General features: G+C 53.1%; 1 protein-coding gene across 43 annotated transcripts in view, besides 1 other annotated feature; it reads left to right on the forward strand.

Annotated features, from left to right (window-relative positions):
• Positions 1 to 16277, forward strand: part of FBLIM1 (filamin binding LIM protein 1) — a 29952-nt gene that overhangs the window by 2860 nt on the left and 10815 nt on the right. For 11 of the 43 annotated variants that reach the window (XM_011541617.3, XM_047423110.1, XM_017001526.3 and 8 more), the window contains 6 exons: positions 4999 to 5188; positions 5467 to 5736; positions 7879 to 8066; positions 9031 to 9133; positions 10912 to 11081; positions 15121 to 15299. In XM_011541617.3, the coding sequence (XP_011539919.1) occupies positions 5487 to 5736; positions 7879 to 8066; positions 9031 to 9133; positions 10912 to 11081; positions 15121 to 15299 (890 nt within the window). In that variant the 5' untranslated portion in view covers positions 4999 to 5188; positions 5467 to 5486. Of the gene's footprint in view, positions 1 to 4995; positions 5189 to 5466; positions 5737 to 7878; positions 8067 to 9030; positions 9134 to 10911; positions 11082 to 15120; positions 15725 to 16277 lie in introns of those variants that run through there. The other 32 variants (XM_047423104.1, NM_001350151.2, XM_047423148.1 and 29 more) reach the window with 10 other exon arrangements.
• Positions 1107 to 2051: an enhancer, noted in NCBI's record as "H3K27ac-H3K4me1 hESC enhancer chr1:16087099-16088043 (GRCh37/hg19 assembly coordinates)". NCBI's record gives its function as "activates a minimal SCP1, AML or CMV promoter by ChIP-STARR-seq in primed H9 embryonic stem cells {active_cell/tissue: H9 hESC(primed)}" and the evidence as "EXISTENCE:reporter gene assay evidence [ECO:0000049][PMID:30033119]".

The following is a 16277-nucleotide window of genomic DNA, read 5'->3' on the forward strand; positions in this document are numbered from 1 at the left end:
TCCTGCTCTTAATGACGCTGTAGGTTCTGTCCGGGTCCTGGAGGCACCCCCAGCCGAGCCCAGCCCCCGGGCTGCTTCTCCCTCTCAGCTGCTGCCTAACCAGCTGTCCTTCTCTTTGCACCTTCCAAGGGCCTAGACCCTGAGTCTTCTTTCCTTATATATCCTCTCAGCCGCCCTAGGGACACACTCATTCTCACTTTATGAAAAAACGAGGCCAGAGAGTTTCTGTGACCTATTCGGGGTCACCCCGCAGGAAAGAAGTGGGGCCGCGTGTGAACCCAGCTCTCTACCTCCTCTGTTTCCCTGGGGTGGGAAAGAGGTTGAGGGAACCCCTCCCCTAAGTTGCAGGGTGGGAGGGGTTGGGGCACACCCCGCCACTTCTGCCTAAATTTAATTCCGTACCCAAAGGTAGACTGCTTTATCCGGTCATTAAAGAACAAAGCTGGCCGGGAGCGGTGGCTCACGCCTGTAATCCCAGCACTTTGGGAGGCCGAGGCGGGCGGATTACCTGAAGTCAGGAGTTGGAGACCAGCCTGGCCAACGTGGTGAAACCCCGTCTCTACTAAAAATACAAAAATTAGCCGGGTGTGGTGGCGCGCGCCTGTAATCCCAGCTATTCGGCGGCTGAGGCACGAGAATCGCTTGAACCCAGGAGGCGGAGGTTGCAGTGAGCCGAGATCGCACCACTGCGCAGCCTGGGCCACAGAATGAGACTCTGTCTCAAAATAAATAAATAAATAACAAAGCTTAAGCCGGGTGTAGTGGCTCAAGCCTGTAATCCCAGCACTCTGGGAGGCCGAGGAGGGCGGATCACTTGAGGTCAGGAGTTTGAGACCAGCCTGGTCAACATGGTGAAACCCTGTCTCTACCAAAAATACAAAAATTAGCCAGGGGTGGTGGCGTGTGCCTGTGGTCCCAGCTACTCAGGAGGCTGAGGCAGGACAATCGCTTGAACCTGGGAGGTGGAGGTTTCAGTGAGCTGAGATTGCGCCACTGCACTCCAGCCTCGGCCACAGAGCAAGATTCTGTCTCAGAAAAAAAAAAAAAAAAAAAAAGAACAGAGCTTAGAGGTGGCCCCAGAGGTTTTTTTGTTTTTTTTTTTCTTTGTAGGGAACAAGGAGTAGGAAGGAGGACTGTGGGGGTGACCCCCCCTGAGCTGCACATTCTCTGCCCCAAGGCTGCAGCCTCTAGCTGGTCTGGGTGGCTGGCTGGATCCCTGCCTCCTTCCTTCCTTTGGACAGGAAATGACTTTCCTTCCCTTTGTTCCCACTTTTCTCCACTTATCTAACTGGATCTGTGATTCGCTCTCTGGGGGAGGAAGAGTGGGGGCGGAGGGTCCCCTGGGCACAGCTGACTGGGAGATGGCCCCAGGGAACTTACACACAGCCTGCTCCCAGCTGAATCGGTGGCAGTGGGACGGGAGGGAAGCCGGGGCTCCCTCTCCCGATGGGATTGACAGGGCTTTGAAACTCCCCAGCTTAGACCCCCTGGGGCCTGAGGTCCCTGCAGTCACTGCTTGGGAGGTATAGGGGCTGCCCAGCTGTGAACATCTGGCCTCAGTGCTGGACATTTTCCGAGAAGCCAGGCAGATCCGACTTCCCGGAGGAGTGTAGGAAGGGTCAGGGCTGGGTGGGAGGAGGCAGAGGGCCATCCCGAAGCCCCACAGCAGCCCCTGGGGACCAGCCCGGAACATGCCGACCACAAGATTTCTGGTCTGGATTGGGCCATTGTAGAGTGAGAACAGGCCTGGGAACTTGGGCGACTTTGTGCCACCCAAGGAAGGAAAAGCGTGTCTGGGGACACACTTTTGGATGATGTTCCATTAGAATTCCGAGTGCCATGGATGGCCTGGGAAAGTCACTTAACCTCTTGGAACCTCACAGGGTCCATCTGCAAAGTGGGGGCAGGATGGGCATTTCTTGCAGCTAGATTGAGAGGCTGGTGGGTTTTGAGGCACATATAGTACCTGGCACAGGGCCTGGCACGAAACAAGTGCCTTATCAGCAAGTCGTTTGGTATTTCTTTAAATCTCACATGTACTCTGAACATTGTTGACAAAAATAGATTCTTAAACTTATAACAAAGTGTAAAACTAAAGCCCGTGACAGCCAGCCTAAGCATACGTACTTCCAGACATCATTTCCAAACCCAGAAGCAAAAGACAAGTACTTTAAAATAAGTTTTGAAGCTCTTTCCTAATATATTGGTTTCTTCCTCAGAATAGATATTTTATTGTCAGACTGAGCTATGTATTTTAGCCAAACAACTTAAGGGAATTTAGGAGCACGTGTTATTGTTTTTATTATCATCCATCAGTCGCTGTGAACCCAAAGTGGCCAGTGCACTTTGAGATAAGGAGGGAAGCCTGAAGAGCGAGATAGAAAAGGGGACATTTTTAGCCCTGGGCACAGGCATTGGGTGCCTGCTGAGGACTGATGTGCTCACTGGACTCCCAGCTTTCCCACCCATGGCCCCACCTCAGCCTTGGCCACAGGGACTACTGTCAGCAGGAACTACCTGAGAGATGGGAAATAATGTCCTTTTCCTGACATCAGGGTATCAGGGTGCCACCATGCTCTCTGATTTATGCTTTTCTTTTTTTTTTTTTCGAGACAGAGTTTCACTCTGTCACCTCGGCTGGAGTGCAGTGGCACAATCTCAGCTCACTGCAACCTCGCCTCCCAGGATTCAAGCGATTCTCCTGCCTCAGCCTCCTAAGTAGCTGGGGACTACAGGTGCATGCCACCATTTCTGGCTAATTTGTTTTTTTTTTTTTTTTTTTTTGAGACAGACTCTTGCTCTGTTGCCCAGGCTGGAGTGTGGTGGTGCAATCTCGGCTTACTGCAACCTCCGCCTCCCGGGTTCAAGCAATTCTCTGTCTCAGCCTCCCGAGTAGCTGAGATAACAGGCGTCTGCCACCATGCCCAGCTAATTTTTGTATTTTTAGTAGAGACAGGGTTTCACCATCTTGGCCAGGCTGGTCTTGAACTCCTTACCTCGTGATCCAACCACCTTGCCCTCCAAAAATGCTAAGATTACAGGCATAAGCCTCCACGCCAGGCCAAATTTTTGTATTTTTAGTAGAGACAGTGTTTCACCATGTTGGCCAGGATGGTCTTGAACTCCTGACCTCAAGTGATCGCCTACCTCCCAAAGTGCTGTGATTACAGGCGTGAGCCATCGGGTGGCCAGATCTGGGTTTTGATGCCTGCGCTCTGATATCCTCTAGGCACACAAAGAATGCAGACACCGGTCAGACGCATTGATAGTGAGCTTGTGAGCCAGCCTGTCCTGCCCTGGGGCTATCATCGCTTTCGTCCACCCTTGGCAGCAGGAAACTGCCCCTGGAGAGGGCCAGGAATCGGGGGGTGCCTTGTGGAAGAGGTGATGTTTGAGCTGGGCCTCTAAGAGAAAGCTGAAATTCACCCTGTGGGGGCAGGACAGGAAAACCATAGAAGAAACACTGCAAGGCAAGAGAGAGGACATAGGAAGGGCGAGTGGTCCAGGGGCTCAAAGAGGCTGAGGCTGCCGCAGTTGGACTTCATCCTGAGGTGGTGGAGAGCCATACTTTTTTTCTTTTTTTTTTTTTAGACAGAGTTTCGCTCTTGTTGCCCAGGCTAGAGTGCAATGGTGCCATCTCACCTCACTGCAACCTCCACTCCCACGGGTTCAAGTGATTCTCCTGCCTCAGCCTCCCAAGTAGCTGGGATTACAGGCGCCCGCCAGCACACCCAGCTAATTTTTGTATTTTTAGTAGAGATGGGGTTTTACCATGTTGGCCAGGCTGGTCTCGAACTCCAGACCTCAGGTGATCCACCTGCCTCTGCCTCCCAAAGTGCTGGGACAGAGTCTCACCGGGGTGCGATGGCTCACGCCTGTAATCCCAGCACTTTGGGAGGCTGAGGTGGGCGGATCACGAGGTCAGGAGATCAAGACCATCCTGGTTAACATGGTGAAACCCCATCACTACTAAAAATACAAAAACAAAATTAGCCGGGCGTGGTGGCGGGCACCTGTAGTCCCAGCTACTCGGGAGGCTGAGGCAGGAGAATGGCGTGAACCTGGGAAGTGGAGCTTGCAGTGAGCCAAGATCGTGCCACTGCACTCCGGCCTGGGCAACAGAGCAAGATTCCGTCTCAAAAAATAAAAATAAATAAAAAAAGACAGAGTCTCGCTCTGTTGCCCAGACTGGAGGGCAGTGGTGCAATCTTGGCTCACCACAACCTCGGCCTCCCAGGTTCAAGCGATTCTCCTGCCTCACCCTCCCAAGTAGCTGGGATTACAGGTGCCCACCACCACGCATGGCTAATTTTTGTATTTTTAGTAGAGATGGGGTTTCACCATGTTGGCAGGGTGGTCTCAAACTCCTGGCCTCAAGTGATCCACCTGCCTCGGCCTCCCAAAATGCTGGGATTACAGCTGTGAGCCACCATGCCCGGCCCATGGAAGGTTTTTGAGTAAAGGAGAAAGAGATTGATGCTCTAGAAAGATCAGGGTTAGGAGGTGAGACCAGAGGCCATGGAGCCTCCCCATCTCTCCCCTTGCCCCCTGCCCACTGCCCAGGCCTGAACCAGGACCCAGGTTTTGGAGATTGGGTGGAGTGAGAGAGTCTGGCACTAGAAAGCAAGCAAGGAGGGTGCTGGCTCATGTGCAGGGCTGAGAAAGGTCAGAGCAGAGCAAAGTGGCCAAGAGCATGGGCTCTGGGTTCCAGTGCCACCTCACCACCGTGTGACCCTGGACAGGTGACTTCTCTCTGAGTCTCGATTTCTTGATGTGTTAGGTGGGTGATGATAGTGCCTGCCCTGCAGCCACCTTGTGAGTGTTTATGAGTTAATGAGCATAACGTGTGAGTGTTTATGAGTTAATGAGTATAACATGCTCAGGGCAGAGCCGGTCTTGGTGAGGGCAGCTCTCACTGTGCCCTGCCCACTCTGCCGCCGGAGCCTAGCCCTGACGCCCTGGCAGATCCTGATCTGTTCTCTTTCCCTCCCAAAGCAGAGCTGGCCTGAACCTCCAGGACTTCAGCCCTTCTAGGAGAATCTGATCCCAGGTGAGGGAGGTCACTTGGGGTGTGGCCCAGCAGGCAGGCGGGACTCCAGACTGGGAACGGAAGTCAGCCCTGCTGGGGCTGGGAGCTGAAGCATCTGTTCCTTCCTCGCGGGTGTGAGACAAGGAAGAGTGATCATTGGTGAGGGCTGCCCTTTGCTCCCCTAGGTGTGCAGGTTCGGGGGAGGGGCAGTCAGGACTTTTGGGTCTCACCCCTGTGGCCAAGTTCCCTGGTGGGTCCTGTCTTCCCCAGCAGGACACCCCCACCCCTTCTCTGGCTGGGCTGGGTGCTGGACTGAGTTGTTGAGATGGTAGGGTGGCTGGCCTGTCTTTTTGGGAGGAGGGAGGCTCTCTCCTCTCGGGGGAGGGTGGCTGTGTGTCTGGGTGGCAATCCTGTGCTGTACCCCACTCTGTCCCTAGCCACACCAGGAGCTGAAGCCATGGCCTCAAAGCCTGAGAAGAGGGTGGCATCGTCTGTCTTTATCACCCTGGCACCCCCGCGCCGCGATGTGGCCGTGGCGGAGGAAGTGAGGCAGGCAGTTTGTGAGGCCCGGCGTGGCCGCCCCTGGGAGGCTCCTGCCCCCATGAAGACACCCGAGGCTGGCTTGGCGGGGAGGCCCAGCCCCTGGACAACCCCTGGCAGAGCTGCAGCCACAGTGCCGGCTGCACCTATGCAGCTCTTCAATGGAGGTAAGAGCTGAGGGGACTTTGGGGAAGACCACGTCAGAGGCAGAGGTGGGGAGGAAAGGGCAGGCTCCAGCGTCATTCATTCATTCATTATTCATCCTGACAAAATTCACACATCAACGGGAAACAAAAAGATGTGCCCCTTCTGGGTGGGCAAGGGAGCCCGGGAAATAGAGGCTAGATGTCAGAATTTCCGGGACATTTTCATGGGTTATTGGGATTATGGGAAGAGGATCTTGGGAGTGTGGGAACAAGATCAAACTTGCCTGGGAAGGGCTGTCCTGTCACTGGTCAGCATGGCTGGCTGGCCGTTTCGTCTGCCAATTTAATACCCTCAAGCAGAGCACGGGGATCTTGGGGTTCAGTCTCCCTGAAGTGAGATAAGTTTTAGGTGACCAGCTTGGTCATGCGCCTGGTCTGACTGCAGGACACAAAGGCTGGCCCCGGGCCCTGGGGATGCTGCCAGCTGCTTGAAGCCGTCTACACCGAAGGCTGCCATCTGCCATCTGCTTAGTACTTGTCCTCTCAGAGTCATCCTCGAGCGGGTCCAGGACCCCCTTTCTGCCCACCTGCCCTGTGGCCTCGGGTCCCCCTGCTTCTCTCTTGAATTCCTGCCCGCCCATCATAGCCTATGGGCCCTGCACCGGGAGGCAGGCACTGGGAGAGGCCACAGCACTCTTACTGCCTCTCCAAGACCTGGTTCCTGACTCCGTGAGCTCATCGGAGCCTCTTTCTCTCACTTCCGCTGAGTCAGCAGCAGCATCACCCGGGCCTGTACCAACACAGTCACTGGGTCCATTCCAGCACAGCCGCAGGCTCCCACCCCAAGTATCTCTGATTCAGCAGATCTGCCGTGGAGCCTGAGAATTTGCATTTTTTTTTTTCGAGACAGGGTCTTATTCTGTCACCCAAGCTGCAGTGCAGTGCAGTGCAGTGGTGTGATCACGGCTCACTGTAGCCTCAACCTCCCTGGCTCAAGCAATCCTCCCACCTCAGCCTCCCAAGGAGCTGGGACCACAAGCTCTCACCACCAGGCCCAGCTAATTTGTGTGTGTGTGTGTATGTGTGTGTGTGTGTATATTTTGAGACGAAGTCTCGCTCTGTCACCCAAGCAGGAGTGCAGTGGTGCGATCTCGGCTCACTGCAACCTCTGCTCCCCAGGTTCAAGCAGTTCTCCTGCCTCAGCCTCCCAAGTAGCTAGGATTACAGGCGCCCACCATCACACCCAGCTGATTTTTGTATTTTTAGTAGAGACAGGGTTTCACCAGGGTTGCCAGGCTGGTCTCAAATTCCTGACCTCAGGTGATCTGCCCGCCTCAGCCTCCCAAAGTGCTGGGATTACAGGCGTGAGCCACCGCGCCCAGCCTAATTTTTTTTTTTTTAGATGGAGTTTTGCTTTTGTTGCCCGGGCTGGAGTGCAGTGGCGCAATCTCAGCTCACTGCAACCTCCGCCTCCTGGGTTCAAGTGAATATCCTGCCTCAGCCTCCTAAGTAGCTGGGATTACAGGCATGCCCACCACGCCCAGCTAATTTTGTGTTTTTCGTAGAGATGGGGTTTCTCCATGTTGGTCAGGCTGGTCTCAAACTTCCAACCTCAGGTGATCTGCCTGCCTCAGTCCCCCAAAGTGCTGGGATTACAGGTGTGAGCCACTGCACCCGGCTTTTTTTTTTTTTTTTGAGACAGGTTCTGGCTCTGTCACCCAGGCTGGAGTGCAGTAATGTGATCTAAGCTCACTGCAGCCTCAACCTCTTGGGCTTAAGTGATCCTTCCACGTCAGCCTCCCAAGTAGCTAGGACTACAGGCTTGTGCTGCCATGCCTGGCTACATTTTTTTTAATTTTTAGTAGAGTTGAGGTCTCACTATGTTGCCCAGGCTGCTCTTGAACTTCTGGGTTCAAGCGAACTGCCTACCTCGGCCTCCCAAAGTGCTGAGATTATAGGCATGAGCCACCGTGCCTGGCCTGAGATTAAGTTTCTTGCCTAAGGACACACAGCAAATCAGTGGCAGAGTTAGACATGGAACCCAGGCCGGGGTGATCCCGACCGGGGCCCTCAGCTTCCCTCTGTATGGCCATGTAGGTAAGTAAAACCCTCCCAGGTCCACCTGGGAGGCTCTGACCAGCCCTCTCTCCTCCCCCATTGCAGGATGCCCACCCCCTCCTCCTGTCCTGGATGGTGAGGACGTGCTTCCTGACCTGGACCTCCTCCCACCCCCTCCACCGCCCCCTCCAGTGCTTCTGCCTTCTGAAGAGGAGGCTCCTGCTCCAATGGGGGCCTCACTCATTGCAGACTTAGAGCAGCTGCACCTGTCCCCGCCCCCGCCCCCACCACAGGTACTGCCTGCCCCCCGACCCCCAGCAATCCCTTGGTCCCCTTGGTTGGGGCACGGGGAGTCTGGGCCTTCTGGGCATTCAGGGGTTCTAAACCTGGACTTTGTCTGGTGCATTCTTCTGCTCGGGGGCAGTCCCTCTTTGAAGCTCTCAGAAGTCCCTATTTAGGCAGGTAAAAATTGGTTAAGTGTTTCAGGGTCCCTGGAGAGGGATGCCACTGCCTCGCTGCTGCACCTGCCGCAGACACCTCCTTCAGCTCTGAGGAAGACGTTTCCCTGAGTCCGACCTAAATCCCTTAGGCTGCATAGGAAACCTGGATTTTTGTTTGTTTGTTTGTTTTTGAGATGGAGTCTCGCTCTGTCACCCAGGCTGGAGTGCAATGGCATGATCTTGGCTCACTGTAGCCTCCACCTCCCAGGTTCAAGCGATTCTCCTGCCATAGTCTCCTGAGTATCTGGGATTACAGGCACCCACACCATGCCTGGCTAATTTATTGTGCTTTTATAGAGACAGGGTTTCACCATGTTGGTCAGGCTGGTCTCAGACTACTTACCTCACGTGATCCGCATGGCTCGGCCTCCCAAAGTGCTGGAATTACAGGTTTGAGCCACTGCACCTGGCCAGGAACCTGTTTTTTAACCCTGGGCCCTTAACAGAGGCTGTGTAGAAATGGGGGGCGTCACAGGCCAAGGGCTTAGTCCACTTCAGTCCAGCATCCATGGGGAAGCCTGGTTGCAGGAGAGTCCTTCTAAGTAGGACAAGGAGCAGTGGCTGATTGAGGGACCCCAGTCAGCTGCCACTGTGACCTTCCTGCTGAGAGACTTACGCAGGTCCCTTGCTTCCCTGGGCCTTGGTTTCCTTCTCGGTACAATGCGGCTAATTGTACCTGTTACCACCCAGATGAGGAACAGAGCTGGGAGGGCTGCATGGGGTCCCACTGGATGACTCCCCGTCTGCATCCCCACAGGCCCCAGCGGAGGGACCTTCAGTCCAGCCCGGTCCCCTCAGGCCCATGGAGGAAGAGCTGCCACCTCCCCCGGCAGAACCTGTTGAGAAAGGGGCATCCACAGGTAGGTGCACAGGGCTGAGAGGATACTGGGGTGATCTCATGGGGCCAGCATGGGCTTCCAGGTAGAAACCAAGAGAGTGAGGACCCCTCTTCCCATCCCCACCCCAGCTCATGTTAACAATGATGGGCTTTGTAGTTCGGCATCCATTTAATTTGTATTGCTTTAGCCTTTTTCCCTTTATACCTAAATTCTATTTAAAATGTTAGTCTGCAGTTTGCTATGATAGCAAAAATGTCTTGAATTTTTTCTCACTATTTTATTTTCTGAACACCTAATGCCCTCACACAGTGCAAAATAAACAGCATGAGTGGGGACACAGTGAGAAGCCTGCAACCTGCCCCATCCCCCTACCACCCGGTTTCCTTCCAGATGGGTGTCCTCTGTCATTGAGCTCTCATGTATCCTGCCAAAGACACTATGCACATACGAGCAAATACAAATATGTGTCCACCTGCTCCCTCCCCCCATTTTTCCATAAGTAGCAAACTAGGCTCTTCTGCTGTTCACTTTCTTTCCTTCGTACATCTCAGAGCTGGTCACACATCAGAATATAAAGTGGCTCCTGGCTGAGCGTGGTGGCTCACGCCTATAATCCCAGCATTTTGGGAGGCTGAGGCAGGTGGATCACCTGAGGTCAGGAGTTCGAGATCCGCCTGGCCAACATGGTGAAATGCTGTCTCTACTAAAAATACGAAAGTTAGCTGGGTGTGGTGGTGTGTGCCTGTAATCCCAGCTACTCGGGAGGCTGAGGCAGGAGAATCTCTTGAACCCAGGAGGCGGAGGTTGCAGTGAGCTGAGATTGCGCCACTGCTCTCCAGCCTGGGTGACAGAGTGAGCTTCCGTCTCAAAAAAATAAAAAAATAAAATAAAATAAATAAACAAAGTGGCTCCTGGCTGGGTGTAGTGGTTCATGCCTGTAATCCCAGCACTTTGGGAGGTCAAGGCAGCCAACAATCCCTTTGTCCTGAAACTGCTGTCCAGAATTCCTTATTTATTTATGTTATTTATTTTTATTTTTATTTTTTTAGACAGAGTCTTGCTCTGTCACCAGGCTAGAGTGCAGTGGCGCGATCTTGGCTCATTGCAACCTCCACCTCCTGGGTTTAAGCGAGTCTCCTGCCTCAGTCTCCTGAGTACTGGGACTACAGGCGCCCGCTACCACGCCCAGCTAATTTTTGTATTTTTAGTAGAGACAGGGTTTCACCATGTTGGCCAGATGGTCTCGATCTCTTGACCTTGTGATCCGCCCACCTCGGCATCCCAAAGTGCTGAGATTACAGGTGTGAGCCACCGCGCCGGGCTCTTTATTTTTTTTAATTTTTATTGTTTTTCCTGAAACAGAGCCTCACTCTGTTACCCATGCTGGAGTGCAATGGCACAGTCTCGGCTCACTATAACCTCTGCCTCCTAGGTTCAAGTGATTCTCCTGCCTCAGCCCCATGAGTAGCTGGGACTACGGGGGCATGCCACTATGCCCGGCTAATTTTTGTATTTTTAGTAGAGATGGGGTTTCACCATGTTGGCCAGGCTGGTCTTGAACTCCTGTCCTCAAGTGATCCGCTCACCTTGGCCTCCCAAAGTGCTGGCATTACAGGTGTGAGCCACCATGCCTGACTCAGATTCCTTTTTAATGCTCCTCATGACCCTCTGTATTTGTCATTTGAGGAATTTGCAGGGTTTAAGACAGAGCCTCGGGTATCCTGAGCATGTTCTGGGTGGTGCCTGGGTACAGTCCTCACAGGCTGGGCTGGTGATGGCCTGTGTCTCCCCTACCCCAGACATCTGTGCCTTCTGCCACAAGACCGTGTCCCCCCGAGAGCTGGCTGTGGAGGCCATGAAGAGGCAGTACCATGCCCAGTGCTTCACGTGCCGCACCTGCCGCCGCCAGCTGGCTGGGCAGAGCTTCTACCAGAAGGATGGGCGACCCCTCTGCGAACCCTGCTACCAGGTAACCCCTGCAGCAGACCTCTGGGTGCCAGGCAGTGAGCTGAGCACTTAGAATATGTTGCACCATTTCATTCCCCACACAGTCCTGGGAAGTAGGCACTATTGACCCCTTTCACAGATGAGGAAACTGAGGCTCAGAAAGAAGGAGCCCAGTGAAGGCGATTGGTTTCCTAGGGCTGCCTGTAAGAGATCACCACAACCTTCGTGGCTTCCAGCAGTACACGTTTATTCTGTCCCAGTTCGGGAGATCAAAAGTCCAAAATCAGCTTCACTGGGCCAAAACCAAGGTGGTGTGCTGTCTGGAGGCTTGAGGGAGAACCCACATCTCTGCCTTTTGCAATTTCTTTTTTTCTTCTTCTTCTTCTTTTTTTTTGCGGTGGGGGACGGAGTCTCACTCTATCGCCCAGGCTGGAGTGCAGTGGCACGATGTCAGCTCACTGCAACCTCGGCCACCCAGGTTCAAGGGATTCTCCTGCCTCAGCCTCCCGAGTAGCTGGGATTACAGGCACCTGACACCACACCCGGCTAATTTTTGTATTTTTGGTAGAGATGGGGTTTCACCATCTTGGCCAGGCTGGTCTTGAACTCCTGACCTCGTGAGCCACCCACCTCGACCTCCCAAAGTGCTGGGATTACAGGCATGAGCCACTGCGCCCAGCCTGTTTTTTTTTGTTTTTTTTTTTTTTTAAGATGGAGGCTCATTCTGTCACCCCAGCTGGAGTGCAGTCGTACAATCTCAGATCACTGCAACCTCTGCTTCCCGGGTTGAAGCAATTCCCATGTCTCAGCCTCCTGAGTAGCTGGGACTACAGGTGCCTGCCACCATGCCCAACTAATTTTTGTATTTTTAGTAGAGATGGGATTTCACCACTTTGGCCAGGCTGGTCTCAAACTCCTGACCTCAAGGAATCCACCCCCTCGGCCTCACAAAGTGCTGGGATTACAGGTGTGAGCCACCGCACCTGGCCCCTTTTGCAGTTTATGAAGCTGCATTCTCCTTGACTCCTTCCTCTGCTTCAAAGCCAGCAGTGTAGCATCCCACTTCAGCGGCCCTATTGTCACCTCTGTGTCAAGTTACAGGGACACGCGATGGCATTTAGGACCCACCTGGATAATCAGGATAATCTCCCCCATCTTAAGATCCTTAGCTCATCCCATCTGAAAGCCTCTTTTGCCGGGCAAGGTAACATTCGGGGTCCAGAGATAAGGACTGGATATCTTTGGGGGCATCTCTTAGCTACCACACGAGGTCACACGAGATGGCCAAGGAGCTGGGATTCTACTCCACACCCATCTGGCTCTGGAGCCTGCCATCAGTCTTGCCACTATCTCCCCTAGAGTAGAGCCACAGGGTTCCAATGTTTGATCTCACGGGAATCTGTGTTGCTTCCGGGTACCAAGTGCAATCTGGGAGAGCCAGCTGGGATGCCAGCACACTGGAATTTCTAACTCTTGGATGGTTTGTGGTGGCATGTTGAGTGTGGTGACCACCCACAGCCGCATCCCCTGGGGATGTGTAGGCCACTCTTTGTGCTTATGAATGAGGAACACCTGGAAATCAGCATTTTGAATCAGTGTCTCAAGTGATTCTCATGCATATAGAAGTTTGAAAACGGCTGATTTGAAGGGTTAGAGTATTTGGAGCTGAGACTCTCCAGAAGAATCCAAACAATCCAATCCCAGGCTCACCACCAGTGAGGCACTGTGGGAAGAGAGAGGAGCCAGGCCCTCCCTGCCGTGTCCCTGTGACCCCATCAACATCATGGGGGAGTGTTCCTCAGGGGTGAGACACCAGGGGAGGAGGGGTGTCCAGCTGGAAGCAGGAAGCAGCCAGGAGGAAGACTTGAGCAGTGTGCTGGGGAGAGAAGGGCCATGCCCATGAGAGGGAGGGGGGAGTGGGAGATGCCCCCACACGTGTCCAGGTGAGGTCAAGGTAAAATGCACAGGAGCACAGCCAGGAAGGAGAGACAGCATGTCCAGGAGAAAAGGTGGAAAGGCTAGAGGGAAGCCCACTGCCCTGCCTCGGGAATCTCTTTGTCATTGCTCCTCATTCCAGAAGGAATTTGAGGCAGCTTCTATGAATGCATGTATACCAGCCAGGCGCGGTGGCTCACACCTGCAATCTCAGCACTTTGGGAGGCTGAGGTGGGAGGATTACTTGAGGTCAGAAGTTCAAGACGAGCCTGGGCAACATAGCAAGACTCCATCTCTATTTTAATATAGCTATTTTTTTATTAAAATATGTTTTTAAAGAGAATGCATATATACCTATAGACCACAATAACATGCGTGCACTGAAAAATTCCACGTGATTCTCCCGCCTCAGCCTCTCAAGTAGCTGGGATTACAGTTGCCCACCACCACGCCCGGCTATTTTTTGTATTTTTAGTAGAGACGGGGGTTTCACCATGTTGGCCAGGCTTGTCTGGAACTCCTGACCTCAGGAGATCTGCCTGCCTCAGCCTCCCAAAGTCCAGGGATTACAGGCATAAGCCACCTTGCCTGGCGCATTTCTTCTTAAAGCATCATATAAAATTATGTTAACTGGCCAGGTGCCGTGGCTCATGCCAGGCCGAGGCAGGTGGATCACCTGAGGTTAGGAGTTCGAGACCAGCCTGACCAAAATGGAAAAACCCTGTCTCTACTAAAAATACAAAAACTAGCCAGGCATGGTGCGTGCCTGTAATCCCAGCTACTTGGGAGGCTGAGGCAGGAGAATCACTTGAACCCGGGAGGCAGAGGCTGCAGTGAGTCAAGATCACACCACTGCACTCCAGCCTGCGCAACAGAGCAAGACTCCATCTCAAAAAAAAGAAAAAGCCTGGGCACGGTGGCTCACGCCTGTAATCCCAGCACTTTGGGAGGCTGAGGCAGGCAGATCACCTGAGGTCAGGAGTTCGAGACCAGCCTGACCAACATGGAGAAACCCCGTCTCTACTAAAAATACAAAAAATTAGCCGGATGTGGTGGCGCATGCCTGTAATCCCACCTACTCGGGAGGCTGAGGCAGGAGAATTGCTTTAACCCGGGAAACGAGGTTGTGGTGAGCCAAGATTGCGCCACTGCACTTCAGCCTGATTGACAAGAGCAAAACTCCGTCTCAGAAAAAAAAAAAAAAAAAAAGGTAGATCTCATGTTAAGTGTTCTTCCCACAATAAAACAATTTTTTAAAGACTGCAATAATACTACGATATGTAAAATAAAGACATCCAAACAGAAGGAAAATCAAAATAGAAAGTGAGACGAGATCAAAGGGAATGTTACTACCCAAAATGTGTGAGGAAGCCAGACACGGTGGCTCACGCCTGTAATCCCAGCACTTTGGGAAGCTAACGTGGGTTGATCACTTGAGGTCAGGAGTTCGAAACCAGCCTGGCCAACATGGTGAAACACCGTGTCTACAAAAAATTAGCCGGGCGTGGTGGCGCACACCTGTAGTCCCAGCTACTCAGGAGGCTGAGGCATGAGAATCACTTGAACCTCAAGTAGAGGATGCAGTGAGCTGAGATTGGGGCACTGCACTCCAGCCTCAGTAACAGAGCGAGACTCTGTCCCAAAACAAAACAAGAACCAAATAACAACAAAAAAGCCCTATAATGGTTTCTAAACGTGAAATGTGGAATTTGGCTCTGAGCTTCCAAGTGGCCAAATGGAAAAGGGAAAGAATTTCAAGTCTTCTTGTCTGTATGATAAAGCACCCAATTCTCCTGAGAATTCCTTTTCCTGACCCTGAGGTTTAAGCGAGGTTTCTCCTATAGCTCTGTGGACCCTGGCCATAAACATATCCCAGTAACAAGAAATGCAGCCATAGCATCAGGGCATCAGGGCAGTATTCCTTGCTGTAAGCCAAGGATGCAAGGCTAAGCTCAATTTGTTATAAGCAATGGTGGAGGTTTTGGGCGATAGTTACAGGTTGTCTGCAGGCCTCTCCTGTACTTCCCAGTTCCTGGGCCCCTGAGGGCAGCCTCTCAGAAGAAGACGACCCTCGTGGGTTGGGGTGGGTGTGTCGTGGATGGTTCTGGCAGTGGCCTCTGTCCTAGGACACACTGGAGAGGTGCGGCAAGTGTGGCGAGGTGGTCCGGGACCACATCATCAGGGCCCTGGGCCAGGCCTTCCACCCCTCCTGCTTCACGTGTGTGACCTGCGCCCGGTGCATTGGGGATGAGAGCTTTGCCCTGGGCAGCCAGAACGAGGTGTACTGCCTGGACGACTTCTACAGGTACGAGAAGGGTTTGTGCACTGGGTGGGGTGCAGGGACAGGGCGAGACCCAAGCAGGGTGAAGGAGCTGAGCTTGAGTCCTGGGTGCTGGGCCAGAGTTTCCTGTCTACTGGTTTATTATAAAGAATATTACAGGGCTGGGCTGGGCGCGGTGGCTCACGCCTGTAATCCCAGCACTTTGGGAGGCCGAGGCGGGTGGATCACGAGGTCAGGAGATCGAGATCATCCTGGCTAACATGGTGAAACCCCGTCTCTACTAAAAATACAAAAAAAATTAGCCAGGCATGGTGGCGGGCGCCTGTAGTCCCAGCTACTCGGGAGGCTGAGGCAGGAGAATGGCGTGAACCTGGGAGGCAGAGCTTGCAGTGAGCCGAGATCACGCCACTGCACTCCAGCCTGGGCAACAGAGTGTGAGACTCCGTCTCAAAAAAAAAAAAAAAAAAAAAAGAATATTACAGTGCTGGGGGCAGTGGCTCACACCTGTAATCCCAGCACTTTTGGAGGCCAAGGTGGGCAGATCATGAGGTCAGGAGTTTGAGGCCAGCCTGGCCAATACGGTAAAACCCCATCTCTACAAAAAATACAAAAATTAGCTGAGCATGGTGGTGTGTGCCTGTAGTCCCAGCTACTTGGGAGGCTGAGGCAGAAGAATCACTTGAACCCAGGAGGTGGAGTTTGCAGTGAGCCGAGATCGCACCACTGCACTCCAGCCTGGGTGACAGAGTGAGACTCTGTCTCAAAAAAAAAAAAAAAGAAAAGGATATTACAGCGATACAGACAGACACGTGAAGAGATGCCTAGGATGAGGTCTAGGGGAAGGGGCAAGGAGCTTACATGCCCTCCCTCCCCAAGTGTGCCACCCTCCAGGAACCCCCACATGTTCAGCCACCTGAAAGCTCCCGAACCCTGTCCTCTTGGGCCTTCTATGGAGACGTCATTGGATAGGCATGATTGACCACCCAGTAGAAATTCGGCTGG

Source organism: Homo sapiens, chromosome 1 (assembly GCF_000001405.40).
Source record: "Homo sapiens chromosome 1, GRCh38.p14 Primary Assembly".
Lineage (NCBI taxonomy): Eukaryota > Metazoa > Chordata > Mammalia > Primates > Hominidae > Homo > Homo sapiens.